We start from the raw sequence: 22,661 nt of genomic DNA on the forward strand, positions 1-22,661 counted from the left end.
CTCCGCGTGCGGCCGGCTCACCAGCCAATCACGGCCTCGGGTGGTTCTCGGCGCGCCGCGCTGCCTCCTTGGAAGTGTAGTCCTCAAGTTGCAGCGGCCAAGAGTGAGACCCGCCTTGAGGACTACTATGTATCCCACAGACCTCGCGGGGCCGCGTGACGCCATCAGGATGCGCGAGGCTCGGGGAGGGGGCGGGATTAGAGTCCAAGAGCTCTCTGCTAGCGGGCGCACTTCGGGCGCTGGAAACTGCAAATCCCAGATTGCTCGTTGGATAAACCGGCTGAGCCTTCAGGCTTTACCCCACCTCTCGAAAATCCATTGAGCTGTTGTGGAGTTACGAGTTTTTAGAGCTACCTAACCGACTCAGGCAGCAGGGCGTGCAACTACACTTCCCAGCTTGCCTCAGCGGGAGTAGATCGAAACAATGGGAGAGGAGAGGTGGGAGCGTGAGGGGAGGACTAAAATGAAGGGGGCGCTGGGCAGGGAGGGGTTCCAGAAAGCGGGGCATCGCTGCAAAGATGTTGCCAACGGAATTCCTTCACGAAAGAAAGCGCCTTGGTTTCATTAAACCTTAATTTTAGAGGCTGGTTCATTGTTAAACTTTTAGAAGGTGCCAGACGTTGTTTTGGAACCTCGGCCGCTTAGCCTCCCCGCTGCCGCATTGTTAGGTTTCCACTGAAGCCATGCAAGTTTGGTGGAAAGGGCCCCGAGATAAAAAGGCCCCTTGGCTGAGATTTGTTTTATTATTAGTTAGCCATGCTACCGGGCCCGTTACTTTCCCTTTGAGTCTCACTGTTTAAAATCTCTCACATGACATTTTGGGCTGGATGGTTTAAAAATAAATACAATCTCTCAAGGACTTCACATTACCTACATTGTAAACTCCAAATGTTTAGCCTCAAGTACAAGGCAGGCCCTTTGTGATCTTTGTTACTTCTCCAGGCTCCTGTGCAGCAGAAGCCTCACCATCAGTGACGTTTGGGGCAGCAAAGGAAGCTATTGCTCCCTTTGAGCATATTCTCCAAATGTGGCACCTTTTCGCCCACAGTCCGTGACTCAAACAATGAGAATTAGTTTTTCTTCTCAAACTCATACTTCAGTAGAACTTACCTACTTAAATAGTTCGGAGATTAAGCGTGCTATTTTACACCTGCATGCCTTTGAACATACATTTTCCTAGAATATCCTCCACCAACGAAGTGCCTACTATCTGTCAGGCTCAGATATATGTGCTGGAGTTGCAATGGTGCAAAGTCACTCCCTGACCTCAGGGAGCTCATAATAAAGAAGGAACATGTGAAAAGTAAACAAGCCGGGTGTGGTGGCTCACACCTGTAATCCAAGCACTTTGGAAGGCCGTAGTGGGAGGATCATTTCAGCCCAGGAGTTCAAGGCTGCAGTGAGCTATAATCAAACCACTGCACTCCAGACTGGGTGACAAAACTAGACCCTGTCTCTAAAAAAACAAAAAACAAAAAAAACAGACCTTGACACCATGAAATTAAGTGCCCTAAACGAAGTGACTTTCGTGTGTTGCTGGGGTACCTAGGTGGAGACCTCACTTGGCATAGCATAATTAAGAGCATAACCCCAGTTCTATGCTTCATTGTGTGGCCTTGGGCAAAGTACATGTTCTCCTCTGTAAAATGGGAATATAGTTACAAAAAGAATACAGTTAAATGACTGTAAAACCCTTCTGTATGAAGCAAAAGAGTTATTTATGGGCCGGGCACGGTGGCTCACGCCTGTAATCCCAGCACTTTGGGAGGCCGAGGCCAGCGGATCACGAGGTCAGGAGATCGAGACCATCCTGGCTAACACGGTAAAACCCCGTCTCTACTAAAAATACAAAAAATTAGCCAGGCATGGTGGCGGGCACCTGTAGTCCCAGCTACTCGGGAGGCTGAGGCAGGAGAATGTCGTGAACCTGGGAAGTGGAACTTGGAGTGAGCCGAGATCACGCCACTGCACTCCAGCCTGGGCAACAGAGCGAGACTCCATCTCAAAAAAAAAAAAAAGTTATTTATGATTGTGGATCACATAAAAAGCACTCATTTGGCTGAGTGTGGTGGCTCATGACTGTATTCCCAGCACTTTGGGAGGTGGAGGCAGGTGGATCTTTTGAGCTCAGGAGTTCAAGACCAGCCTTGGCAACATGGCGAAGTCCTATCTCTATTAAAAAAAATACAAAAATTAGCCGGGCGTGGTAGCGCATCGCTGCGGTCCCAGTTACCCAGAAGGTCAAGGCTGCAGCAAGCTGAGATCGTACCACTGCGCTCCTACCTGGGCAACAGAGCAAGACCCTGTCTCAAAAAACAAAACACAACAAAGAAACAGATTCAAGCGCCTGTGCCTCCTGGGAGAAATATGCTTCTCCTTTCCCAGCCTCGTTTAAAAATGTGTGGTTACAGATAACAATATTTATTATGCTTTTTCATTTATGCCATCACATTAAACTCCCCACCCCCAACAAACTCCGAGGTGAGGATTATTACCATTTTGCAGATCAGGAAACTACGGTGACAAGCAGCTCTGGGCAGCTCTGTTGCCTAGGCTGGAGTTCAGTGGCACGATCATGGCTCACTGCAACCTCGACCTCCTGGGCTCAAGCGATCCTCCCACGTTGGCCTCCCAAGTAGCTGGGACTACAGGCAAGCACCACCATGCCTGGCTAATTTTTGTTTTTTTTTTTCAGAGATGAGGTTTTGCCATGTTGCCCAGGCTGGTCTGGAACTCCTGGGTTCAAACGATCTGCCCACTTTGGCTTCCCAAAGTGCTGGGATTACAATTCCAGGCATGAGCCACTGCACCTGGCTACAGTTTTTAAATTTTACATAGAGATGGTGTCTTCTTATGTTGCCCAGGCTGGTCTCAAACTCCTGGGCTCAAGAGATCCTCCTGCCTCGACCTTCTGAAATCCTGGTATTACAGGTGTGAGCCACCATCCCTCCCCCTGCCCACCCTGCCCTGGGTTTAGCCAGAGAAAAGAACTCGGGATGAGGGGAGAAGAAACAGGGAAAGAGAAATGGGAAAATGGGGGAGAAAAGGAGGTGAGTAAAGAGAGAGGAGAAAGGGACTGGCTAAATTTGAAAAAAATCACAGAAGGTCAGTGCTGGAAACAAGAATATTTGGCTTAGACTCTGTTTAAATTATGAAGAAACGGAGACCCAAGGAAGGAAATGTCTCTTGGAGAATTACCTAGGAACTTAGTAACTGAAAAGGATCTGGACCTGCAGTGTTCAGTATGGTAGCCTCCGGCCATATGTGGCTATGGAGCACTTGAAATGTGGCTAGTCTGAATTGAGATTTGCTGTTAAGTGTAAAATACACATCAGACTTCAAATATTCCATATAAAAAAAGAATGTAAAGTATCTCATCAATAATTTTTCATATTGACTCCATGTTGAAATGATTGGGATATATCTAATAATACAATAAAATATTAAAATTAATTTTACCTTTTTTAACTCTAAAAAATGTGGTTACTAAAAAATTTTAAACAACATATATGGCTCACATTTGTGGCTTGCACTAGATTTCTACTGGACAGCGCTGGTCTAGAAATCTTCTGACCTTGAGCTAAGTGTATCTGCTGTTTCCCAGTCTCTTCCAACAAGTCATTTACAACCTATCATGTGCCAGCTGATGAGAACAGATTCAGTTGCAGTCTAAGGATGAGACTAAAACAGGGATAACAGGTGCTGGTAGGCAATATCAGTGAGTTCTATCTTATATACTCCTAGAATGGTATCTATAAGATATACATACAAGATATTCTTGAGTGGTTCTTAACTTTACCAGCCCCAATGTTCCATTTTAATAACATTTTTATAACTCCCCATTTACTATTGTGAAATGAAGTTTATAGATAGTATAGCCTAACTACATACATAATTTCAAAAAAAATTATAGTGTCTGAACCAAAGCAGAAAGAATAAAAGGAAATCCTTTATAATAAGATAATACTTTTCAGTATGCTAGAAAGCATAATTAGTCAGATGCTAGTAGTTATGCATAGGAGCACCTTGAATGTGACAGTACAAATGCAGACTGAACGCTATGAATAACACTGCTATCAGTGACCCAGTTCTCCAAAATGGTGAGTAATTCCTAATAAATTCCTGAACACAACAAAGTATAATCTTCCTTCTGTTAACATGGTGGTTACATTCCTTAAAAATTCAGCACATTTTACACCCCTACAAGATTACTTTGTTTTTTGTATATAAGACACAGGCACATCAGATGATTATAACCAGTTTTTTTTTAACCTATATGAATATTCAGTAGGACATGTGAAAGCTGTGTGGGATCAGGACAGTTTTCTTGTGTGATACCATCTTGCAATGTGCAAGACATGGAGCCTCCTTGGCTCCTCTCCCCCAATCATTTGACAACAAAATTGCCCCGAACATTTCCAAATTGCTCCTTAGGGAGGGTGCCATTCTGGTTGGGGAACCACTGTGGTGGTCTGAATGCTTTACCTGTTCCCTGTTCCCCAGCCTTACCTTGGGCTGTTCTCCCCTCACCAGGCTCAAAGATGCCCTGGGCCTTCCCAGTTCTTCTCCAAGCCAATCTCTTTCCTCTCTCAGGACATTCTGGTGCTCTTTTCTTTGCCTGGAAAACTGTCCACTTCATGTCTGGATAACTTTTCCTGAACCTTTGGATCTCAGCATTGCCAAATTCCCAGTCTAATTTAATACTTTGTTTAGTTTTTCCACAGGACTCTGTGCTTTTCTGCAATGGTACTTATCAGACTGGGATTTCTACCTGTTTTATTCTTGCTATGTCAAGCGTGTTTATTACCTGTCTCCCTCAACTTTCAGTTCCCTGAGAGCAGGGACCATGCCCATCTCGTCCACCGCTTGTTTACCCAGCACTCACGAAGATGCCCGGAACTTAGCATCCTTAGATGAACGTACGTGCCTGGCAAACAACAAACATTTCTTAGGCAACTGAAAGGCTGATGGGATTCCACAGCCAATTGGGAGAAAAGCGCTCTCGAGGGTGGGGGTATGCTTTTTCCAGGGCAGATGGTGTTCAGCCCAAGTTACGGGGCAGCTTTGGTCCACTCTGGATTTGCCTGGATTCGCGTATGTGGGGGCGAACGCGTCTTATCGGGGGGCGGCCGGTTGGGGCCAGGCAGCCCGGATCCCAGCCGAGGAGGTGCGCGGTGCTGAGAGGCCGTGGGAGCGACCATAGAGAACGCGCGGGCGGAGCGAGCGGCCGGATGCGGTCACCATAGAGACGGGTGACTGACAGGCAGCGGAAGAGGAAGCTGCGGACAGGGGCTGTGAGGTGGCAGCGGCTGCAGCGGCGGAGCCGGCGCCTCAGCGGGCACTGGGGTCTGTTCCCCCTTCCCCGTCCCTGCTCCCTGCCAGGCGCGTGCGGGACGCCGCTCTTGGTCCCCACGCCTCCGCCCCGCCCCCTCCCGGGACGCCGGGAGACCCCGGCCGTCCTTTATCCGGTGTCCGCCGGCCCCCGGCCCTGAAACCCGGGCCTCCTCCCCGAGGGCCTTGGGCGTCCCTCCTGGTCCTGCGCTCGCGGCCTCGATGCTGTCTCTGGCGCGGCCTCCGCTCCCGCCGACTGGCCTGAGAACGAGGTCTGTGCCCCAGTCTCCCAGCCGCGACCTCCGACCCCGCCTCGCAGAACGACCCGAGCTGGTCTCCCGAGCCCCCTTCTCAGCAGCCCGGTGACGTGGCCAGTTTATTTCTGTTTTGAGACGAACGGCGAAGACTCGCGTCGGGTCTTCGTTCTAGGGCTAGACTTGGTCTCTGATCGCCGAGAGGTAGCGCAGGGGCTGTGGGCCCCCGGCAGGGGTCCTGTCGGAAGCTGGCCGCGCTTCTGTTTGCGTTCCCAGGACCCTGGCATTGTCTCTAGTTGCTGCTTGTGCTCTCTCTTTGCTTTTGGTTTGCTTCATTTGGCCCCTGGGGCCCTGGTAAAACCAGGCACCGAATCGCTCGCACACAGAGTTCCAGTCCCCGCCTGCTGTCTCCTCAGCAGCTGGGGTTCCGAGGAGAATGCCCTGCAAGATGGCTCCATCGGCCATGGCGCTCCTGAGAGGCTGTCAGTGCTGAGTCACCGATCTACCTCATTCGGGTGGGCAGAACTTATGTGTGCCATGCGAGTGGCTCCAGACCGCTCCTGAGTGGGAGGAGGGGTTCCTGTAGCCGTTGCGTCTTCTCAAACACGGGGAGCAGAGTAGAAAGAGGCTCTGGCCCCTTCCCTTGTGCCCACCGGGCCTGCCGCAGTGGCTCAGCAGCCCCTTCAGTAGCCCGCCTGAGGACCGATGCCAGAGGCAGGCATTCTTCCGGAAAGGCCCACTGAGGCAGGCTCCGGCTCCTCTGGTTGGGGCTGTTGTTTTGATGGATCGTGTGCTTTTCCCTTACCTCTTATCACTTGCTGTCATCTGTTGACTTAGGCCCAGTCTGCAGATGTGTGTAGTGTTCCTTTTTGGGTTAGCTTTGGCAGTATTGAGTTTTACTTCCTCCTCTTTTTAGTGGAAGACAGACCATAATCCCAGTGTGAGTGAAATTGATTGTTTCATTTATTACCGTTTTGGCTGGGGGTTAGTTCCGACACCTTCACAGTTGAAGAGCAGGCAGAAGGAGTTGTGAAGACAGGACAATCTTCTTGGGGATGCTGGTCCTGGAAGCCAGCGGGCCTCGCTCTGTCTTTGGCCTCATTGACCCCAGGTTCTCTGGTTAAAACTGAAAGCCTACTACTGGCCTGGTGCCCATCAATCCATTGATCCTTGAGGCTGTGCCCCTGGGGCACCCACCTGGCAGGGCCTACCACCATGCGACTGAGCTCCCTGTTGGCTCTGCTGCGGCCAGCGCTTCCCCTCATCTTAGGGCTGTCTCTGGGGTGCAGCCTGAGCCTCCTGCGGGTTTCCTGGATCCAGGGGGAGGGAGAAGATCCCTGTGTCGAGGCTGTAGGGGAGCGAGGAGGGCCACAGAATCCAGATTCCAGAGCTCGGCTAGACCAAAGTGATGAAGACTTCAAACCCCGGATTGTCCCCTACTACAGGGACCCCAACAAGCCCTACAAGAAGGTGCTCAGGTGAGAGCAACATGTGTGCATAGTCCCCAGACACTGGCCCTGTTTTGGGCTGGTGTAAATCCTTGCCTCTGCCTTTCCATTGGCAATCGGCGTCGGGCGACTTGGAGCAATTCTGGCTTATTTTCCATCATGGTTTCTTTCTGTTTTTTCCCTCCTTCTCAGGTCTTAGAAAGTCTCACATTCATTGGTGTTAAATTAGGGTTCGATGTTTTTTGTTTGTTTTTGTTTTGTTTTGAGACGGAGTCTTGCTCTCGTCGCCCAGGCTGGAGTGCAATGGTGCGATATTGGCTCACTGCAATCTCTGCCTCCCAGGTTCAAGTGATTTTCCTGCCTCAGCCTTGCGAGTAGCTGGTATTACAGGTGCACACCACCACGCCCAGCTAATTTTGTATTTTTAGTAGACATGAGGTTTCTTCATGTTGGTCAGGCTGGTCTTGAACTCCTGACCTCAGGTGATCCACCTGCCTCGGCCTCCCAAAGTGCTGGGATTACAGGCGTGAGCTACCGTGCCCAGCCAGGGTTCGATGTTCTTGAACAGAGGAGGAATTGCATCTAACCTACCTAATCTATCCTTGGTAGACTCCCTCCCCTCCCAAATCAATTCGTGTCAGCTACTTAGTGGATACTCAGTTCAGTACCTAATTAATATTGACAAGGAAGGAAGTTTCTCCCTTCTCAGCCCCAACTCACTCCTAGAGGGGGATGTATATTCTGAACAAGCTGGGTTCCTAAAGATTAGGGAGTTGACCTCTGGCACACTGGTCTTTCCACAGGACTCGGTACATCCAGACAGAGCTGGGCTCCCGTGAGCGGTTGCTGGTGGCTGTCCTGACCTCCCGAGCTACACTGTCCACTTTGGCCGTGGCTGTGAACCGTACGGTGGCCCATCACTTCCCTCGGTTACTCTACTTCACTGGGCAGCGGGGGGCCCGGGCTCCAGCAGGGATGCAGGTGGTGTCTCATGGGGATGAGCGGCCCGCCTGGCTCATGTCAGAGACCCTGCGCCACCTTCACACACACTTTGGGGCCGACTACGACTGGTTCTTCATCATGCAGGATGACACATATGTGCAGGCCCCCCGCCTGGCAGCCCTTGCTGGCCACCTCAGCATCAACCAAGACCTGTACTTAGGCCGGGCAGAGGAGTTCATTGGCGCAGGCGAGCAGGCCCGGTACTGTCATGGGGGCTTTGGCTACCTGTTGTCACGGAGTCTCCTGCTTCGTCTGCGGCCACATCTGGATGGCTGCCGAGGAGACATTCTCAGTGCCCGTCCTGACGAGTGGCTTGGACGCTGCCTCATTGACTCTCTGGGCGTCGGCTGTGTCTCACAGCACCAGGTGACAGCTCTTTCAAGTCAGTCCCAGTCCCTGATAAGCTAGTGGGGGATGAGTGATTGGCCTTCCTCCCAGCAGCACCTTAGAGGCCATTGTTCCCCCTTCCTGGCCACTGGCCGCTCTGTGGGCCCTCCGTTGCTCACCTTTGGCAATCTGAGAACCTGGGGCTATCAAAAGTAGTATCTTGTTAGGAACCCCTAAGCAAGACCAAAGGGTGCTCCTACTCAGCAGTCCTTCTCCCCTGCCCCCCTGCCCTCCACACCTCCCCCGACATCCACACTTCAGTTATGGCAGTGTGGGCATGTCTTAGAGATGGCTAGTCTCCAGAGAAGTGAGGTGATCACTTTTCCAGCCCAGAGAGCTGCCCTGTTTCTTGTGCTGGAGAAGAGTGGAAGAACCCAGAGGTGGCTCATCCTCTCAAACCAAAGTATTGGGAGGATTTTCTGGCTTGTGTCATTCATTCCCTTGAAGAACAATGGGAATCTTTGGGGGAAGAAAGTATCATTATTATTATTTTTAATATGTTATTTCTGTGATGGCTCCTTGCAGAGCAGGGCTAGCCTGTAAGCAATGCACTGAGAGTAGCCGAGAGTGTCCTTAGTTGCCTACTTGCTTTCTACTTTCCAAAATGTGGGCAGTGAAAGAACTGGGGTTAAGCGAGGTGCTGGAAAGGGTGCCTCTTCTGTCCTCTGTTCTAACGCAGCAGTGCTAACAGATGTGAACACTGAGTATGGTTAAGGGCGGTTTGGGACTGGCAGCTCTTGTGTGTGTCATTGATTGGTCTGATTGTCCCTCTAGGGGCAGCAGTATCGCTCATTTGAACTGGCCAAAAATAGGGACCCTGAGAAGGAAGGGAGCTCGGCTTTCCTGAGTGCCTTCGCCGTGCACCCTGTCTCCGAAGGTACCCTCATGTACCGGCTCCACAAACGCTTCAGCGCTCTGGAGTTGGAGCGGGCTTACAGTGAAATAGAACAACTGCAGGTGAGCTGAAGAGGAGCAGGTGGGCAGAGGACCGCAGTCAGAGGGTCAGAGAGAGCCTGAGATGTCCAGGCGTGCAATGAACGAGCAGCTGGCAGTGGGGCTGGGCTAGGCCCTGTATAATGGCAGGGCAGGAAGAGGCCGACCATACTTAAATTTAAAGCAACTACAGGGACAAAGGTCTTTGGGGGTCCAAAGCAATCATAAGGTAAGCTCCCAGCACAACTTGAATGCAGCTAAAGGGGTTTGCAAGTAGACTCTGAGGATCAGGAAGCTCCGCACAGTGTTCAGACAGAATAGTTTTAGCTCCTCCTCAATAGTGCCTGTCCACTGAGGAGGCAAAAACTCTGAAGTTTCTTTACTTCTAGAACTGTCCCAAGAAAGCCCAAGGGTAGAAGGGAGAATTCTCAAGTTGAACGTCAGGCTTGGCAGAGGTGGAGTGTAGATGAAAACAAAGGTGTGATTATGAAGAGGATGTGAGTCCTTTGGGTGTAGGAGAGAAAGGCTGTTGAGCTTCTATTTCAAGATACTTTTACCTGTGCAAAAAGCACATTTTCCACCTCCTTCTCATGGCATTTGTGTAAGGTGAGTATGATTCCTATTCCATCTGCATTTTAGAGGTGAAGAATAACGTACAAGGGATTCAGTGATTAGCAAGGGACCCCTCACTAAGTGTTGATGGAGTTAGGACAGAGCTCAGCTGTTTGAATCTCAGAGCCCAGGCAGCTGGAGCTGGGTAGGATCCTGGAGCTGGCACTAATGTGAGGTGCATTCCCTCCAACCCAGGCTCAGATCCGGAACCTGACCGTGCTGACCCCCGAAGGGGAGGCAGGGCTGAGCTGGCCCGTTGGGCTCCCTGCTCCTTTCACACCACACTCTCGCTTTGAGGTGCTGGGCTGGGACTACTTCACAGAGCAGCACACCTTCTCCTGTGCAGATGGGGCTCCCAAGTGCCCACTACAGGGGGCTAGCAGGGCGGACGTGGGTGATGCGTTGGAGACTGCCCTGGAGCAGCTCAATCGGCGCTATCAGCCCCGCCTGCGCTTCCAGAAGCAGCGACTGCTCAACGGCTATCGGCGCTTCGACCCAGCACGGGGCATGGAGTACACCCTGGACCTGCTGTTGGAATGTGTGACACAGCGTGGGCACCGGCGGGCCCTGGCTCGCAGGGTCAGCCTGCTGCGGCCACTGAGCCGGGTGGAAATCCTACCTATGCCCTATGTCACTGAGGCCACCCGAGTGCAGCTGGTGCTGCCACTCCTGGTGGCTGAAGCTGCTGCAGCCCCGGCTTTCCTCGAGGCCTTTGCAGCCAATGTCCTGGAGCCACGAGAACATGCATTGCTCACCCTGTTGCTGGTCTACGGGCCACGAGAAGGTGGCCGTGGAGCTCCAGACCCATTTCTTGGGGTGAAGGCTGCAGCAGCGGAGTTAGAGCGACGGTACCCTGGGACGAGGCTGGCCTGGCTCGCTGTGCGAGCAGAGGCCCCTTCCCAGGTGCGACTCATGGACGTGGTCTCGAAGAAGCACCCTGTGGACACTCTCTTCTTCCTTACCACCGTGTGGACAAGGCCTGGGCCCGAAGTCCTCAACCGCTGTCGCATGAATGCCATCTCTGGCTGGCAGGCCTTCTTTCCAGTCCATTTCCAGGAGTTCAATCCTGCCCTGTCACCACAGAGATCACCCCCAGGGCCCCCGGGGGCTGGCCCTGACCCCCCCTCCCCTCCTGGTGCTGACCCCTCCCGGGGGGCTCCTATAGGGGGGAGATTTGACCGGCAGGCTTCTGCGGAGGGCTGCTTCTACAACGCTGACTACCTGGCGGCCCGAGCCCGGCTGGCAGGTGAACTGGCAGGCCAGGAAGAGGAGGAAGCCCTGGAGGGGCTGGAGGTGATGGATGTTTTCCTCCGGTTCTCAGGGCTCCACCTCTTTCGGGCCGTAGAGCCAGGGCTGGTGCAGAAGTTCTCCCTGCGAGACTGCAGCCCACGGCTCAGTGAAGAACTCTACCACCGCTGCCGCCTCAGCAACCTGGAGGGGCTAGGGGGCCGTGCCCAGCTGGCTATGGCTCTCTTTGAGCAGGAGCAGGCCAATAGCACTTAGCCCGCCTGGGGGCCCTAACCTCATTACCTTTCCTTTGTCTGCCTCAGCCCCAGGAAGGGCAAGGCAAGATGGTGGACAGATAGAGAATTGTTGCTGTATTTTTTAAATATGAAAATGTTATTAAACATGTCTTCTGCCAAACTGTTTTTAGGTCTAGGGAAAATTGAGTAAGGAGAAGAATCCAAGGGAAGGGAATGGGGAGTCGTCCCGAGGGACCCACTGCCTCCCCACCTTCTTCCCTTCCCCTTCTCTCCCCCTCCCCTCCCCAGTTTCCAATGACCACACGGCTGCTGTCAGATGAATGACTTTTAATCCAGCCCCACACCCCAAGGTGGCAGAGGAGTGATGCTGGAGCCCGGGGCAAAATGCTGGGGCCCGGGACACGGCTGAAAGTTCCGTCGTGCTGCTTATTTTTGGGCTCCTAGGTGTTGCGCACAACCAGCGACTGCTCCAGCTCCTGCCTGCGCTGCTGGATCTTTAGAGGAAGTGAGAACAGGAGCAGGTGTCAGTGTTCTGGTGAGTGATCAGGACAATCCCACCTACTGACACCGCCTGCCCTGAAAGAGCATCTGGGAGCAGGGAGGGCCATTGCATGGTGAGGCAGCGTGGTGAAGCTTTACTGTGGGGAGCTGCGAGGGCTGCCCACAAGCTGAACAGGGAGGTTTCTCTTGGAGTTGAGGATGGGGAAGCCTCAGGGCAAGGGTCCCTGCATACCTTGCAGTAGAAGTAGCGACTGACGGCCTCCTGGGACCAGGGCTGGTGGTAGAACTCAGCCCGGCGCTCCTCTTCAGGGTTGCCGGCTACATCTGTCATCACCTGGGAGGGAGCGTGGGGTGAGCCCTGAGCCCTGAATCCCCTCACCTGCCCCTGGAGTACAACGTTTACTCTCTTTCCCGCTGTGCTTGTCTTCCACTCCAGTACTCCCTGAGTCTCCCTCTTCACCTTGAGGTCCCGGCTCTGGGAGCGGAGCAGGTCTTGGACATAGCCTTTGGGGTCTCTGGAGAAGCTTAGCATGAAGTCCCTCTGGATCTTGAGCTGGTTTATGGACTCAATCGTCTCATGGATCTGCAGGTAGAAAGATAGATGCTTTCCACCTGGCTTTGGTGATGTGGGAGACGAGGGGAAAGGAAGCGGGTGGGAAGGGGAGGGAGAGGGGGTTTCTTCTGTGAAGGACAACCCCTCAGAGCCCCTGATTTCTCTGAAGTCCCAGGGGAGGAGGGGATGGGCAGAACTAAACTTGGAATGAGGTTCAGCTCCAAGCAGCATGGACGGGCCATGTGTGTCCCATTGGCCCAGAGTCTGGTCTCTTTTTTTTTTTTTTTTTTAATTTAACCCAGACTGCTCATCTGCAACCACACCCTGGTCTCAGAAAAGTCTCCTCTATCATCTCTGGGTTAATGTCCCACTCCAGCTCTGGGCTTGGGCCCCACCTTACTGTCCAGAGCACTGATCTCCTGCTGGTTGGCCGTGGATAGGAGGAAGCTGCTCATCTGCCCCTTTAATGGCTCCTCCACCTCCACGTCAATGTCATAGCACGCCGTCTTCTTCTGGTCTGAAGGGTCCACGCTGCCAGGGAAGTCCAGCCCTTCGTGTCCACGATGCCCCCATACGGCCCCAGGGCCCCGGGGCTGGGGCAGATCCAACAGGGAGGGAGAAGAGATGGGAGTGGGAGGAGAGGGAGGGGCAGGGAAGGCAGGAACGAGATCATTCCCTGGTCTGAGAAGCAAGCTGGGGCCACCTCACCTGATGACATGGTTGATGACAATTGGGTCAGGGGGCAATAGCAGGGCTGTGAGGCGCTGGGGAATCTCAGAAAACTTCAGCCGGGGACAATCAAAAATCTGAAGCAGGACAATTGGGGAGAGAGAGATCACTCTTCTTGAAGAGATCATCATGCAGTTGTAGATCCTTTTGTTCTAGAAAGGCCACAAGAAGCTGAGAGGAAGTCTGATTCCTCAGTGCGCATGGGGATGGGATTGGGGTGGGCTGGTCTGGTGGTGGAGCCACCGGTATGGCTGACAAGATAGGGGGTGGGTCAGTGTGGGGCAGGGGTTGAGAGTGCGGGCCCTGGGTCAGCCTGCTTATGTATCAGTCCTGCCTCTGCCACTTACTATGCAACCTGGAGCAAGTTAACACCTCAGGGCTCAGTGTCTTCATCTCTAGAGTGGGGATGAAAAGAATACCTATCTCCCAGGGCTGCCGTGAGAAGTCAGTGAACTAATACACATAAAGTGCTTGGGACAGTGCCTGGCACATGGTAAGTGCCCAATAAATATCAACTGCTATTTTTACTCCTCAGGTTTATCTGCTGTATTTATTTTTAAATGCATTAATAAGAATATTCTCTGTTTTGGTGGAATTTTGCTCAATCACTTTTGCAGCAATTTGATTTTCCTAACTGCCCAGGAGAGTAGATAGGACAGGTATTGTCACTCCACTTCAAAGATAAGGAAACAAGGTTCAGAATCGCTGAGTCACTTACCCAGAGTCCAGACTCAGGACTAGAACCTGGGGATCCTAACTCCAAGTGCCAAGAATATTACATTCCAGAAAGCGGTTGGCTTTGTAGGGTTTCCAGGTCTTCCTAACTTGGGGGGGCTAACATGGATTGGCTGCAGCACAGAGCTAATCCACAGTAGGGCCTGAACTAGAATCCTGGTCGGTCTCTTGGCTCCAAGACCATGACTGTGTACTGCTTCTGCTACTCAGGAATCTAGAAGGGAGGGGTGGTAGTTACCTTGGTAGAGGTACTTCCCCTGCTGGAGAACTCCGCCTGCTCCCCAGATCCCAGGGTTCAGGAGAGAGGTTACCTGCTGGAAATACTTGTCCCCATTGATGTATTCCTTGTCATGGGAGTCCTGCAGCCTGTTGGTCTTCACATACTGCCACAGGGCCTGGACAATGGCTGAGCGGCTCTGTGTGTGCAGCCCCAGCAGCCGGGCTAGGCGGGGATCCAGTTTGAACTGGGGAGGCTGGGAAAAGGGGACTGTGAAAGTTAGACCAAAGGGAGAGAAAGGAAGGAGCCCAGGGCCAGGCCATTCAGGACTAGGGGGATGTGTTGATTGAGGAAACATGCCCCTGGGGAAGGATAGGTTTGGGAGGGGAAGGAGGTCTCTCAAGATGCACCACTTTGGGACCTAGCCCTGCCCTGAGGGCCTTGTGTGGCGTGTACGGGGCAGCATGGCAGGTGCAGACCTGGTAGTCCAGCATGAGGAGCAGCGTGCAGCGCACACTCAGGTCCCCAGGCCGTTTCACCTGGAAGCCGTCCGTCTCCTGGGTCGTGGGTGTCCGATGCCACTGTCCAGGAGAGAAGAGCTGTGTCTCCCAAAGGCCCATCTGGAGTGGTGGGGCCCAGGACTCTAGGGTGGTCCCTGACCCAAATCTGTGCTGGTTCTTCAGGGATTCTGGCCTGTGGGAGGGTGGCAATTCAAGGGCGGAGGGGCTCTTGGTCTTACCTCAACGAGGTGGTTGTCAGGGCCATAAAGATCTTTGTCCAGCTCGATGACCAAACTCTTGAAGAAAGAAGAGAACTTCCGCTTCTGTTTGCTGGGCTGTGGGAGAGCAACAGGGACCATGGGGGCAGAACAGGGACGAGGTGGGAGGAGCAGAAGGAGGCCAAGTTGGCAGCCGACAGGGCAGTGGGCTTAGATGAAATCCTCTGCACTTGGAATGTCTCTAGGCCTGCCCCTCCACCCAGCCTGGGCTGACTCCCTAGCCCTTAGTGCAGACACCTTGTTCTGTTCTCAGTGCAGCCCATGCCCACCCCAGGACACCTGGAGAGACCTGGGCCGGGACGTACATCATCCAGGAGCTTCCCCTCCACCCGTAGCTCCCAGGAGGCAATGCTGCCGTCGGAATCCTCAGCATCAGGCTTCGCAGGGTTAAAAGTGTTGGAGATATAGAGTCGCAGCTTCCGCTTTTGCTGTAGAAATAGAGTGCAGAACCGGGCGAATGCTGTGTGCTCCCACCCCGACCACCCTGCTTCCCCATCCTGGTCACACAACTCTAGAGTCCCCTTCCTACCCCCGAACTAAGGCACCTTCATGGGCCTCTTCAGAGCCTCCTGGATGTCCACCCGCTTCCGCATGATGGTTTGATCCAGTTTCCTCTCAAATGCCAAGAGGTCCATGTAAGCCTGGGACTCGGGGACCAGCTCCCGAATCTGGAGAAGGAGGAGCAGGGCAGGAGTCAGAGGCTCAAGTCCAGGGTTGTACCATGGAATGTATGCATGTTGTGCAATCCTAGGGTACAAAAGATGTCAGGGGAGCCATCCTACTTTTGGGCATGTAGCTTTGACAGTGGGAACAGGACCTCTCCCCAGGATGCCATTATCCAGCAGTAGGGGCCTTGCTGTGTAGGGATAACAATTGCTTCTCCCTTTAGGAAGTGCCTTGTGTTTCATCATCAGGGAGGAGGTAGCAACGGTGGAGCTCAGCAAGCACTAGCCTTTAGTCTCCTCATCTTGTCATTGTCCATATCATATGCCTGCTGGGCTTCCCCTGGGCCCCTGCAAAGTGCCTAGTAGGGGCTCAATCCCTGAGACAGTTGGACAGCGGTGCTTTCTTCTCTGCTGGCACCTTGCTCAGCCCCCACACCTGTCCCAACTGTGCTGTCCCCATACCCAGCTGGACCTGGGTCTCTTTAGGATGCTCAGGATCTCTGGCCACCTTCTATCCCCTTCATTCTGCCTGGCAGCTTCTGATCCCCTAGCTCTTGCCCCCTCCTGGTCCCACAGCTCTATAGTACCACTTGGATCAAACCCCCTGACAGGCCCCTGTGTTCTGGCCCCAGTGGCTCTGCTGCTTCCCTCCACCTCACCCCCTCCCTCTGGCCTGCGGAGCCTCACTTATTAATGAGCTTTTTTAAACAAAAAGTGAAAGTGACTGTGATGCTGAAGCTCTGCTTCTGAGGGGGGAGGGGAGGGCGGAGCAGCAAAGGGTGGGGGGTGGGCTGGGGGCTGCTGTGAAAGGCACTCACCCTTTGAGGGAGGATTTTGTCAGCCATCTTCCTCCTCTTGGCACTGTACATTTTTTAAAGAAAAAACCAGGTTACCATGGCGACAGATCTGGGCGTAACGAGGCCACCTGCTAGATTATCCCGACATCTCCGCCCGCCTGGCTGGGGTTCCCACAGCCCACTTGTCTGCCCGCCCAAGGGCTGTGACGGTGGTGTGTGGAACCGGTGCTCTGTCCTCTCTCAGGACACAGGAGTGACCCATCCATTCTCTGGCCTGGGAGCCCCCTTCTACCCTGCCACATCCTCAGGGACAGAGAAATTTAGACAGGAGGGACTGGCTGGTGGGGGCGGTGCTGCCAAAAGATGCGAGCTGCAGAAGTGTTTGAGGAAAGGTGGGGATGAGGGAGGACAAAGGAGAGGGAAGCCAGGTTCTGAAGACCTTTTCTGGAAAGCAGGGGGTGCCCTGTCCAAAGGGGCCTAAGCTCAGAGGGAGGGAGAGAGACGAACTCCTTCCTATCCATGGAGCGGGAGGTGACGGTGTGAAGCTGGCGGGACTTGCACCCCTTCCAGCCACCCTGGGCTTGGAAGAGAACGCTGATGGGCTGGGGGTACTCATGCCCTGGGACTACCTGGCAACAGGGTGAGGGACATGCTGCAGCCATAGGCGCCCAGAATGTGCATGGGTGTGACTTCAGGCTGAGGCCAAATTGACTAGGCCCGGGGTAGTAGCAGCTGGATGTGGGCTCTTTCTGACCCACTAGCTGCTTCTAACTAACCCAAAAACCCCCAGAAAAACCTTGGCGGGTCAAGAGATGAAAACGCAGCCCAGAGAATAGCTCCATACTGCCCCCGTGTGGTGTTCTCAAGCACTGCCCCCTCCCTATGCAGAAATCTAAGGCTAACAAGCGGATTTCATTAAAGGTCTGGTTTGTTTTAAACAGATTATCTATGTGTAACTCTCCATTTATACAAGATAAATCAGGGAATTACCATTTGCTGTACAAAATGACGATGCACTTTACTAAAGAATTCATCATGGGATTCCTATAAGTGGTGATTTTTTCCCCGATGTGTAAAAAATAATAATGAGGTAAAATTGATATTACACCTTTTATAGAAACCCATCTGTTGTGCAAAAAAAGCATGTGTATTTGGCTAAATACTGAAACCCGGAGGGGCACTGCTGTTGCCAGGAGCCAGCAGGGGCTTTGAGGGTGCCACCAGCTGCTGGAGGAAAGCAAGGAAATGGGCTGGCCCTGGTGGCTTGAGAGCAGACCTGGGCCAGAGTGCCTAAGAATTAAGAGCAGGACTGGGTAGAGACCACCTACCCACAGGGCAAATCCCCAAGCTCCACCCCCATGGTCAGAGAGTCCCATTGAGAAAATCTGGAGTGGCTTTGAAACAGCCCGGGGGCCGGCAGGAAGGCTCAGCGGAGAACCACACTTTGGGGAACACAGTCCTACACCTCTGCCCTCAGTCCCACTGGAAGCCCCGCCCCCACCCCAAAGACTGAAGCATCACCCAGAACCTGATGGGTGGAGAGAAGGACTGAGCAGGTGACAAGGAGAAGGGTGAGGGGAGCGTGCAGGGAAGCGGTACCGGCTGCCGACGCCGCAGCCTGTCTCTACCGTGGGCACACAAAAGAATCAGGCCGGTGCCCCCTAAGCCTACCTCCCCAGAGGGCATTCGACCCGGGAAGCCTCGCTCCCTGCTAATCATTCTTCCTCGCCCCTTCCAATCCCCGCTACTCGCTTACCTGGTCCCTGCGGGTCCCCCAGGGCCCGCCCCTGCACGCCCCCTCCTCGCCGGGCCTCCCACTCACCTGCGGCTCCGCGCGGGGGCGGTGGGCACCGGCTGGCCCTGGCTCTGTGCCTGGCTCTGCCCGGGCGGGGGCGCTGCTCGCTTGCGGGCGGGCTCCATGCCCGCGGGGGCCAGGCCGGGTCGCACGGCGGGGCTGCCCATGTACGGGGAGCCCGGGGGGCCCATGGGCGCCCCCTGGTGGGGCATCCGGGCTCCAGACGGCATCCCGGGGCGCTGGGGGTGGGCGGGGGTGAAGCAGAAACGGGCGCCCGTGGGTCAGACCAGGGCCCCCCGCTCCAGGCGCGGTGAGCCGGCGTCTCCCCTCCCCCACCAGACCCTCGGCTGGTGACCCTGAGCGTTGAGCGATGGGTGGGAGCGATGGGTAGGAGGGGCAGGGGCGCCGGAATCTGCGCGGCTCTGGCGGAGGGGCTTGGCGTCTGGCTGCAGGAAGCTAACTGAAGCCAGGCACCGCACAGGGCATTGCGAGCCTCGGGGCTGCGGAAGGTACCGCAAAAATGAATATTAATGGCGCCTTTCAACCTTTCAAAGATGTTCACATCCACATGCTCCTCTGCAAGACAGCCTGAGCAGGTCCTTTCATCCCCACTTGACGGATGGGGCCACTGTGGCTCAAGGAGAAAAATGACCTCGCCAAGGTCACACAGCTCATCCTGGCCCAGGCAGCCCCTGAAGGGCTGCCTCCTGGGGGCCCAGGGCTTTGCTCTCTGCGGCTTGGTTGAGGTCCGGTACCCGGCTCCCTGCTCCGACTTCTGCTCCTCCTCCTGCTCCTCCTTCTCAGGCTCCACTTCTTGGGCGGTTCTGCCTGGTACTCACTAGCTCATCTCAGCCACTCTGCTCCCTGTGTCCCTGCTTTTGACCCTTGGGTCCCAAACCCCACTCCCCTCGGCTGACTCCAAGTCCCCACATCCAGGGTCTTCGCTGACCAAGCTGCCCCCATAATTTGCTCCCAGGGTGAGGGCTGGAGGCAGGGCAGGCAAGGGCAGCCTGCTGGGGCGCCCCAGACACAGCCAGGATTCTCTGATTGGGAGGAGGGGAACTGCGTTAGAGGTGGGCTGCCCAGGGGGGCCTGGGGTGGGTCAGGGCAGTGACACTTGCACTCACATTTCCCTTCCTGTCTGCCCAGGTCAGCAGCCACCTCCTCCTCTTCCCATCCCCACCCCAGTGAGGTCAGCAGTCAGGGTTCATGGGGGCTGTGGAGACTGAGAGGAGGCGGCTCCTCCTCCCTTGCCACTACCCCTGGGTGGTCAGATGGGGTGTAAATGAGATGCAAATGCATCGAGCGAAGTGTTCCAAACCCCACTTGTCCAGACTCCAGAAGGGAGATGGGGAGGGCCAGAGAGAGTTTCAGGGGCTGTGAAACAGAAAGAGCGGGGTGGGATGGGGACTGGGACCACGAAAGCAGGAAGAAGATCAGAGGGCAGGGGATGCAGACCCTGGCACTGTTAACATGGACACACCACCCACCTCACCCCCAGGCATGAGGAGGGGCCCCCTTGGGCTTGCTGTTTTCCTTCCAACTGCTACCTCTCCCTCCTGGTCCTCCAGGCTCTGTGTCTAACCCTAATGTCCTCCCACCCTCGGTCAGCAGCTGTCTCTGCCTATCTCTCCTGCAGTGAAACCTGCCTGTCCATGTGTCTGCTTCCCTCACCCCACCTGACCCTGTCACTCAGGCCTCCAGGGTAGCAGCCCAGAATGGAGCCCAGGCCTGGCCACCAGCTAGGTGGGGCACTGGGGCTCACAGCCACTCAAGAACTGAAGCTGTAAGTTGACCAGATTAAAAAAACAGTCCACGTGTACAGCCTCTCCCCACTAGATGGGCCTTTTTAAAGGGGCTCCCACCAGCAGCCAGGTTAGGACTGGTAACTCAGCTAGCTGACATGGACACCTTGGGAAGTTACCCCCAGGGGTCCCTGGGGCTGGAGGACAGGCCACTCCAGGGAGTCCCCCTCTTCCTGTCAGCTGCTCTCCCCAGTTATCAAGGCCAGGGATACTGGCCCATCTGCTGAAGAGGCCCTGAGAGGGAGGCTTTCAGAGCCCCCAGAGAGCTGTGCCCGCCACCAGCCCCATCCCCATGAAAGGCCAAAATCCTAGGGACTCTGGCCTTACTGAGAGGGTGTCTTCCTTGGGGTCACAACCAAATTTGGCCATAGTAAACCCGACAGCTTCCTCTACACAGGGCCTCCACTCCCTCACCCATCCCAAGAGTCGCAGCCCCTGCTTCTCCCATTCCCCACCCCTCCATACCCCTCCCAGCCGGGCCCTACTGACTCAGCTCCAGCCTCCCGGGCTCCCACGTGCCTTCACAGCCTGCCTGTGGCAGGACAGTGCTCCCCTGTCCCTTCGGTCTCTAGGCCTCATGTCCCCAACTCCAGCCCCTTCCTTCACATGTTCGAGGAGTTAAGGACATCAGCTTCTGGTGGCTGAGTCCGCCAAGGAGACCCTCAGAGCCCCTAACTTGGGCTAAGTCCCTAGAGCGGTCCTCTCCCCCACCCTAAGGCAGAAGCTCCAGAGCCCTCCCGCTGGGATGCAGAGGTGGCTCAGCCTGCGAGCTTCCCGCTACAGTGCCTCCAGGGTCACCTGCTCCTTGCTCCGGAGACACAAGCAGTGACACTGTCCCAACGGATGAACAGACAGCCCAGCCCAGCCTCTGCCATGTCCCCATCCCCCACCCCCACCCCCAGGGCAGGGGCAACACCTGGGCCCACAAGGAAAAGAACGAAAGTCAACCTGTCGGCTACAGCGAGGACCCCCTACTTGGGGGGTAGAGTCCCCAAGTCCCACCCCCGCCCCTGACAAGAGCCATGCAAACGCCTCCCTTCCCCGCCTCGCGTCAGACCCGGCCGGCCGCCTGGCGACGTGTTCGGGTGCCAGGGCGCCAGCACAGTCCCGCGGCCGGGCCGTGGGCCATGACGCCCCCCACTAGAGGGGTGGGAGAGCGGGAGCGCCCTCCCGGCCCCTCCCGATCAGCCCTCCATTCAGCCCGAGCCAGCTCGCTTGCCCTCCCCCGCTAACTTTCCCCCACTCACCACCCCATGGACCAGAAACTCAAAAAGTTTGCTTTTCGTGGCTTTGCGCGCCCCTCCGGCAACTTCGTCCGCGGCCATCGGGGTGGGCTCAGCGGCTCCTCTCACTCTCTCTCTCTCTTCCTCTTTCTTTCCCTTTTCTGCCTTTTTTTTTCCTCCAACTCTCCCCTCTGAGTCCTGCTGGGCTCTCTCACACTTCTACTCGAGCGGAGTGGGGAGGGGGCCCCTTCAGGGCTGCCCTGACGGCCCACGGCCCACGCCGCCGCCGCCCGCCCGCCGCCGCCGCCGCCGCCGCGGCTGCCGCATTCCTGCACTGATAAGACAGAAATAGTCCGGCGGCCCGGGGTCTGCCTGTTGACTCGGCGGGGACGGGGCCGCCTGCCTTTCCAAGCCCGCTGTCCAAACAGCGCAGATAAGCGGCGAGGCGCGCCGACCAGCCCGGCCGCGGGCGCTGGGCAGCAGTGCTGCAGCCCGAAGCCGCCGAGGCCCGCGGGAGGCGGCGCGGGGAGGGGACGCCAGGGGAGGCGGCGGGGGGTCGCCGGCCACCGGCTCTCGCCACAAATAGTTTCTCCGTCAGGGAATTCGCCGGCCGCGCCAGGCAGGGAACAGTCAGTTCCAACTTTTCCCCCAGCGGCTCCTGCTGCATTTCTGAGGCCCTTTCCCCAGAGACCTGGCAGGCCGAGCAGGGAAACATTCGCTGGCAGGAACCGGGGGAGCCCGGCCCGCGAGGCCTCGCGCCTGCCCGGGGCCGGCGGCGGTGGGTGTGCCCGGGCGGCGGCGTGGCCCTGCGTCCACTGCTGTGTGTGCCCTTGTCTCACACGCCGTGTGTGTCCGCGCCCTTTTGTGGCGTGGCAGCTTATGTGCGTGCAGACAGACGCCCTGTATGTGTGCCTCCCTCCACGACAGCCTCCGTGCGCGCGCGCCTGCGTGTGTGGCAGGACATGGCCTGTGCCTTTCAGCTCTGTGAGAGGCTATTTCTGGGTATGTGAGTCTTTGTTTGCCGCTCTGTGAGAAAGTGAGGGCAATAGGGGAAGTATTTCAGAAAGAGGGACAGGGATTGTGCTCATGAGAACAGGAAGAGAATGAATGTGGGGAATGGCGCAGCGCCAGGGGGGTGCTCGGGTGGGTGCGTGGAGAGAACGAGGCAAGCTGGGCTTGGTTTCCTTGGGGTGGGGGTGGAGTGGGGTTAGGGGACCCAGAGGAGTTGGGGCAGCTGGGCTGGGTATAGTGGGTATATTGGGCCGGCCTCAAGACCCCAAAGAGAGGGGTCTTGAGGCTGGGGTGTGGCGTGGGGTGGCAAGGGAGCCCCAGAAGGGGCGTGTGGAAGGAGTTGGCAGTCCCTGGAGTGGAGGAGGGACCGGAAGGAGGAGGGGCAAATCCTGACATACCCA

At 55.5% G+C, this 22,661-nt stretch overlaps 2 protein-coding genes, 1 long non-coding RNA gene and 1 other non-coding gene across 17 annotated transcripts in view, besides 16 other annotated features; 3 read left to right on the top strand and 1 right to left on the bottom strand.

Annotated features, from left to right (window-relative positions):
* Positions 91–170: an enhancer, noted in NCBI's record as "active region_26854". NCBI's record gives its function as "activates an Ori minimal core promoter by ATAC-STARR-seq in GM12878 lymphoblastoid cells {active_cell/tissue: GM12878}" and the evidence as "EXISTENCE:reporter gene assay evidence [ECO:0000049][PMID:35858748]".
* Positions 5,129–5,188: an enhancer, noted in NCBI's record as "active region_26855". NCBI's record gives its function as "activates an Ori minimal core promoter by ATAC-STARR-seq in GM12878 lymphoblastoid cells {active_cell/tissue: GM12878}" and the evidence as "EXISTENCE:reporter gene assay evidence [ECO:0000049][PMID:35858748]".
* On the top strand, positions 5,272–11,611 carry CHPF2 (chondroitin polymerizing factor 2). 8 transcript variants are annotated; one of them, NR_171547.1, is made up of 5 exons: positions 5,272–7,063; positions 7,837–8,401; positions 9,197–9,379; positions 9,745–9,961; positions 10,163–11,611. NR_171547.1 is itself a non-coding variant. In NM_001284295.2 (5 exons), exons 1-5 carry the CDS (start codon positions 5,554–5,556, stop codon positions 11,468–11,470), a joined length of 2,295 nt encoding a protein of 764 aa, NP_001271224.1. In that variant the 5' UTR covers positions 5,272–5,553; the 3' UTR covers positions 11,471–11,611. The 8 variants fall into 8 exon arrangements, 5 of the variants coding, with proteins under 5 accessions (NP_001271224.1, NP_061888.1, NP_001376581.1 ...); NM_001284295.2 differs by lacking the exon at positions 9,745–9,961 and having other exon boundaries at positions 5,272–5,603; positions 6,875–7,063; NM_019015.3 differs by lacking the exon at positions 9,745–9,961.
* Positions 5,369–5,568: a silencer, noted in NCBI's record as "silent region_18806". NCBI's record gives its function as "represses an Ori minimal core promoter by ATAC-STARR-seq in GM12878 lymphoblastoid cells {active_cell/tissue: GM12878}" and the evidence as "EXISTENCE:reporter gene assay evidence [ECO:0000049][PMID:35858748]".
* Positions 6,144–6,709: an enhancer, noted in NCBI's record as "H3K4me1 hESC enhancer chr7:150930441-150931006 (GRCh37/hg19 assembly coordinates)". NCBI's record gives its function as "activates a minimal SCP1, AML or CMV promoter by ChIP-STARR-seq in primed H9 embryonic stem cells {active_cell/tissue: H9 hESC(primed)}" and the evidence as "EXISTENCE:reporter gene assay evidence [ECO:0000049][PMID:30033119]".
* Positions 8,140–8,640: an enhancer, noted in NCBI's record as "H3K4me1 hESC enhancer chr7:150932437-150932937 (GRCh37/hg19 assembly coordinates)". NCBI's record gives its function as "activates a minimal SCP1, AML or CMV promoter by ChIP-STARR-seq in naive H9 embryonic stem cells {active_cell/tissue: H9 hESC(naive)}" and the evidence as "EXISTENCE:reporter gene assay evidence [ECO:0000049][PMID:30033119]".
* On the top strand, positions 11,210–11,327 carry MIR671 (microRNA 671). The gene has a single exon (NR_030407.1). It is a non-coding gene; the product is annotated as a microRNA 671 (primary transcript).
* Positions 11,569–22,661, bottom strand: part of SMARCD3 (SWI/SNF related BAF chromatin remodeling complex subunit D3) — a 38,370-nt gene continuing 27,277 nt past the window's right edge. For 2 of the 7 annotated variants that reach the window (NM_003078.4, NM_001003802.2), the window contains exons 3-14: positions 18,249–18,460; positions 16,448–16,490; positions 15,510–15,632; positions 15,270–15,392; positions 14,926–15,021; positions 14,666–14,767; positions 14,281–14,442; positions 13,214–13,311; positions 12,901–13,036; positions 12,413–12,535; positions 12,185–12,286; positions 11,569–11,945 (exon numbers count right to left, since the gene is read on the bottom strand). In NM_003078.4, the coding sequence (NP_003069.2) occupies positions 11,892–11,945; positions 12,185–12,286; positions 12,413–12,535; positions 12,901–13,036; positions 13,214–13,311; positions 14,281–14,442; positions 14,666–14,767; positions 14,926–15,021; positions 15,270–15,392; positions 15,510–15,632; positions 16,448–16,490; positions 18,249–18,460 (1,374 nt within the window). In that variant the 3' untranslated portion in view covers positions 11,569–11,891. Of the gene's footprint in view, positions 11,946–12,184; positions 12,287–12,412; positions 12,536–12,900; positions 13,099–13,213; positions 13,312–13,952; positions 14,443–14,665; positions 14,768–14,925; positions 15,022–15,269; positions 15,393–15,509; positions 15,633–16,447; positions 16,491–18,248; positions 18,461–21,273; positions 21,484–22,661 lie in introns of those variants that run through there. The other 5 variants (NM_001003801.2, XM_047420758.1, XM_047420757.1 and 2 more) reach the window with 5 other exon arrangements.
* Positions 12,340–13,539: an enhancer, noted in NCBI's record as "MED14-independent group 3 enhancer chr7:150936637-150937836 (GRCh37/hg19 assembly coordinates)". NCBI's record gives its function as "activates an origin of replication core promoter dependent on BRD2, BRD4, P300/CBP and CDK7 cofactors, and independent of MED14, by STARR-seq in HCT116 cells {active_cell/tissue: HCT116}" and the evidence as "EXISTENCE:reporter gene assay evidence [ECO:0000049][PMID:35650434]".
* Positions 12,450–13,768, top strand: LOC124901779 (uncharacterized). Its single transcript, XR_007060596.1, has 2 exons — positions 12,450–12,541; positions 12,808–13,768. It is a non-coding gene; the product is annotated as an uncharacterized LOC124901779 (long non-coding RNA).
* Positions 14,296–14,797: an enhancer, noted in NCBI's record as "H3K4me1 hESC enhancer chr7:150938593-150939094 (GRCh37/hg19 assembly coordinates)". NCBI's record gives its function as "activates a minimal SCP1, AML or CMV promoter by ChIP-STARR-seq in naive H9 embryonic stem cells {active_cell/tissue: H9 hESC(naive)}" and the evidence as "EXISTENCE:reporter gene assay evidence [ECO:0000049][PMID:30033119]".
* Positions 17,427–18,001: an enhancer, noted in NCBI's record as "H3K4me1 hESC enhancer chr7:150941724-150942298 (GRCh37/hg19 assembly coordinates)". NCBI's record gives its function as "activates a minimal SCP1, AML or CMV promoter by ChIP-STARR-seq in naive H9 embryonic stem cells {active_cell/tissue: H9 hESC(naive)}" and the evidence as "EXISTENCE:reporter gene assay evidence [ECO:0000049][PMID:30033119]".
* Positions 18,002–18,575: an enhancer, noted in NCBI's record as "H3K4me1 hESC enhancer chr7:150942299-150942872 (GRCh37/hg19 assembly coordinates)". NCBI's record gives its function as "activates a minimal SCP1, AML or CMV promoter by ChIP-STARR-seq in naive and primed H9 embryonic stem cells {active_cell/tissue: H9 hESC(naive and primed)}" and the evidence as "EXISTENCE:reporter gene assay evidence [ECO:0000049][PMID:30033119]".
* Positions 18,238–18,537: a silencer, noted in NCBI's record as "silent region_18807". NCBI's record gives its function as "represses an Ori minimal core promoter by ATAC-STARR-seq in GM12878 lymphoblastoid cells {active_cell/tissue: GM12878}" and the evidence as "EXISTENCE:reporter gene assay evidence [ECO:0000049][PMID:35858748]".
* Positions 18,558–18,637: a silencer, noted in NCBI's record as "silent region_18808". NCBI's record gives its function as "represses an Ori minimal core promoter by ATAC-STARR-seq in GM12878 lymphoblastoid cells {active_cell/tissue: GM12878}" and the evidence as "EXISTENCE:reporter gene assay evidence [ECO:0000049][PMID:35858748]".
* Positions 18,558–19,150: a biological region, named in NCBI's record as "H3K4me1 hESC enhancer GRCh37_chr7:150942873-150943447".
* Positions 18,576–19,150: an enhancer, noted in NCBI's record as "H3K4me1 hESC enhancer chr7:150942873-150943447 (GRCh37/hg19 assembly coordinates)". NCBI's record gives its function as "activates a minimal SCP1, AML or CMV promoter by ChIP-STARR-seq in primed H9 embryonic stem cells {active_cell/tissue: H9 hESC(primed)}" and the evidence as "EXISTENCE:reporter gene assay evidence [ECO:0000049][PMID:30033119]".
* Positions 19,151–19,724: an enhancer, noted in NCBI's record as "H3K4me1 hESC enhancer chr7:150943448-150944021 (GRCh37/hg19 assembly coordinates)". NCBI's record gives its function as "activates a minimal SCP1, AML or CMV promoter by ChIP-STARR-seq in naive H9 embryonic stem cells {active_cell/tissue: H9 hESC(naive)}" and the evidence as "EXISTENCE:reporter gene assay evidence [ECO:0000049][PMID:30033119]".
* Positions 19,712–20,006: a silencer, noted in NCBI's record as "tiled region #13648; K562 Repressive DNase matched - State 20:ReprD". NCBI's record gives its function as "represses a minimal TATA promoter and a strong SV40 promoter by Sharpr-MPRA in K562 cells {active_cell/tissue: K562}" and the evidence as "EXISTENCE:reporter gene assay evidence [ECO:0000049][PMID:27701403]".
* Positions 22,054–22,143: a silencer, noted in NCBI's record as "silent region_18809". NCBI's record gives its function as "represses an Ori minimal core promoter by ATAC-STARR-seq in GM12878 lymphoblastoid cells {active_cell/tissue: GM12878}" and the evidence as "EXISTENCE:reporter gene assay evidence [ECO:0000049][PMID:35858748]".

Source organism: Homo sapiens, chromosome 7 (genome assembly GCF_000001405.40).
Source record: "Homo sapiens chromosome 7, GRCh38.p14 Primary Assembly".
Lineage (NCBI taxonomy): Eukaryota > Metazoa > Chordata > Mammalia > Primates > Hominidae > Homo > Homo sapiens.